This window comes from Homo sapiens, chromosome 7 (assembly GCF_000001405.40).
Source record: "Homo sapiens chromosome 7, GRCh38.p14 Primary Assembly".
NCBI lineage: Eukaryota > Metazoa > Chordata > Mammalia > Primates > Hominidae > Homo > Homo sapiens.
Window position 1 is genome coordinate 81,353,753 of NC_000007.14, and position 3,109 is coordinate 81,356,861.

The 3,109-nt window shown below is 36.3% G+C and overlaps 1 annotated feature.

The window, feature by feature from the left end:
- Window positions 313–1,512: an enhancer, noted in NCBI's record as "BRD4-independent group 4 enhancer chr7:80983381-80984580 (GRCh37/hg19 assembly coordinates)". NCBI's record gives its function as "activates an origin of replication core promoter dependent on BRD2, P300/CBP, MED14 and CDK7 cofactors, and independent of BRD4, by STARR-seq in HCT116 cells {active_cell/tissue: HCT116}" and the evidence as "EXISTENCE:reporter gene assay evidence [ECO:0000049][PMID:35650434]".

Sequence of the window (3,109 nt, forward strand, 5' to 3'; positions counted from 1 at the left end):
GAATTTTCCTTTAATATCCTGTATCATGTTTTTGACTTCAAGTTGGACTTCACCTTTCTCTTGTGCCTCTTTGATTAGCTTAATAATCAACCTTCTGAATTCTCTTTCTGACTGTTCAGAGATTTTTGTCTTGGTTTGGATCCATTGCTGGTGAGCTGGTATGATCTTTTGGGGCTGCTAAAGAACCTTGTTTTGTCATACTACCAGAATTGTTTTCCTGTTTCCTTCTCATTTGAGTAGACGATGTCAGAGAGAAGATCTGGAATACAAGGGCTGCTGTTCACATTATTTTGTCCCACAGGGTGCTCCCTTGATATGGTGCTCTCCCCCTTCTCCTAGGAATGGTGCTTCCCAAGAGACAAACTGTAGTTATTGTTTCTGCTCTTCTAGGTCTAACCACCCAGCAGAGTAGCGGACTCCAAGCTGAAACTGGAGAATGTCTGCAATGAGTCTTTTGATATGATCCATCTTCAGGTCTTGCAACTGTGGATACCAGCACCTGCTGCAGTGGAGTCAGCAAGGGAGTGAAGTGGACTCTTTGAGAGTCCTTGGTTGTATTCTTGTTTAGTGTGCTGGTTTTGTGTTGGTTGGCCTCTAGCCAGGAAGTGGAACTTTCAATAGCTCATCAGCTGTGGTCCTATATGCAGGATGCACAGTTGCCCTAGGGACACCTAGTTAAGTATTCAGATTTGTCAGGCAATGGGCAGGGCCATAGGGCACCCAAGAGATTATGACCTTTGTCTTCAGCTACCAGGGTGAGTTGAGAAAGACCCCAGGTGAACGCAGGGATAGGTGTGTCTGAGCTCAGCCTTTTCTTGGGCAGGGCTTGCTGCTGCTGCTGTGGGTGTGGTTCCCAAATTCAAGGGAGTTATATTCCCAGGAATATTGTGTCTCCCTCTGCTGAGTCATATAGGTCACCAGGGAAGTGGGGGAAAGCCAGCAGTCACAAACCTAACCCCACTCCCACACAACCTACAGTCCTAAAGGCCATGCCCACTCCCATGGTGCCCCAACAACAGTACCTTGTCATCCAGTGAACAGGGCTGAGAACTTGTCCCAGACCATGAGCCTCCCCATTGAGAAAGCAAGCAGACTCACACTTTTTCAGCATCTCAGGGAGCCTGCAGTAGCGATGCAGCTCCTTCAAAACGTTGTGGATTCTCGCGGCTTTCCTGGTATGTTCCTGCAGTAGTTCTTGGAGAAAAAATTCACAATGTGAGTCTTTGCACGCTGCTCTGTTCATCGGAGCGGAAGCTACAAGCTAGTTCTGCCTCGATTTTCCAGGACTTCTTATCTGTCTTCTGTTCTCACATACTCTGCACCACACATAGGTGACTGAATCTATTCTCAAGGCTCTAGGACTGCCATTGTTTTTCTGTTCCTGGTCATTACACCCATTTCAGACCACACTATTTACTTGGTTCTATTCTGGATCTTTTTTTGACTTTTCAAGACTCCAAAAATCCTGCCTAGAGACACTCACCCATTCTAGACTATAGATGCAAATCTCTGCATGGAAAAAGAACACAACTGCAAGAAATAGAAGGAAAAATTTATTTTGCTATCATCACAACTAAGTGTTTATTATTAAACCAATATTTAAATTTAAGTCAACTCCATAAACATTTTTTAAATATTTTCTTTATGCTAGGCATAACGGTAGAAATAAAAATATACATTATCACTGCTCAAAGAGTATGCAGTTTAAAATGAAGATTTGCAAGTAGAATACTGAATTGCTATTTAGGCTTATGCATGTGGAAAAAAAAAAAAAGAAAAAGAAAGCAATATCTAAGGTATCCAGGTGTAGCACCAGAGAAGCACCAATCTACTCTATCTGCAGATAGAATTCAGTTCAAAGTGGAATTGACTCATTATGCCTCGAATTTTTTCATGCATTTCTAATAATTTTATTTAAACATTAAAAAAATTTAAGTAGAGAAAAAAAATATAGTTCTTAGAAATGTCCTCTAAATTTGTCTTACAGGTCGTTGACAAACCACTAGGAAAACTGAAGCTTAATCATTACCTTGATAGAATGTTCATCCTTATAATTTTGCTCTAGATCATGAGAAATACACTTACTGAAACACATTTCTAATTTTTTTAAATGCCAAGTTAAATTTTGTCAGCATTCTAGATCATGAGAAATACATTTTCTGAAACACATTTCTAATTTTTTTTTAAATGCCAGGTTAAATTTTGTCAGCATTCCCTCGCTTCGCTAAAAGAATACTGACAACATACATTATAACCATATGGCATTTCTCTCATCTCAAGGATAATGGTTCACTTGGGATATTATTGTAAAACTTTTAAAAAACTTGGCTAGAGTAAATGATTTCTCAGAACCACACCTAACTATGATATAATACAATGAGATTGAAGGAGAAAGCAGCCAAGTTTTTCATAATAAATACTTAAAAAGAAAAGCCTTTTATTCCAAACAAGGATTCTATTTCATTTTTCACATATAAACATTCTCTCCTATGGAAACCTAAAATAACTTAGAAAGTTGGTAGAATTGTTAGCAGTTGAATAATTAATTACAAAATAGTTTTCATGGAAGCATATGCAAATAACTTTTTTAAATACTTTTTTTTTTGTTTCATTAAATCCAATAAACTAATCTGTGTCTTAGGTCTATAATAGAACTATCAAATACTGAGTTTGAATATACTGTGTATTTAATTTGATTCTCAGTACAGTCATCTATTATAACCATAAGAAGCATCGTTCTTATGAGTTTTACATAGAATAAAACCAAAACACAACACTATTATGATACTCTAAACACGACACTATTATGATACTCATTAGAGGTATTATATTTCAAATGTAAGTCTAAATGTACTTCCTTTAAAGGAAAGCAATTATAAATATTATTATCCGTTTAAATGTTATTTGAACTACTTGATTTTAAATTTGTGTTTAGAATGTTTAACAAAAATATTTGTTAATGTTTCTTACAAAGCCTTCTTATATTTTCTAAAAATCCCAAAAGAATTTTAAGCATGTTTATTCTCTAAAGAATTCGCATTTTAAATAAATAGCCTGTAAAGAAAAAAATGAATTTCAAGTATTTATTCTACTTATATTTATCAAAAAT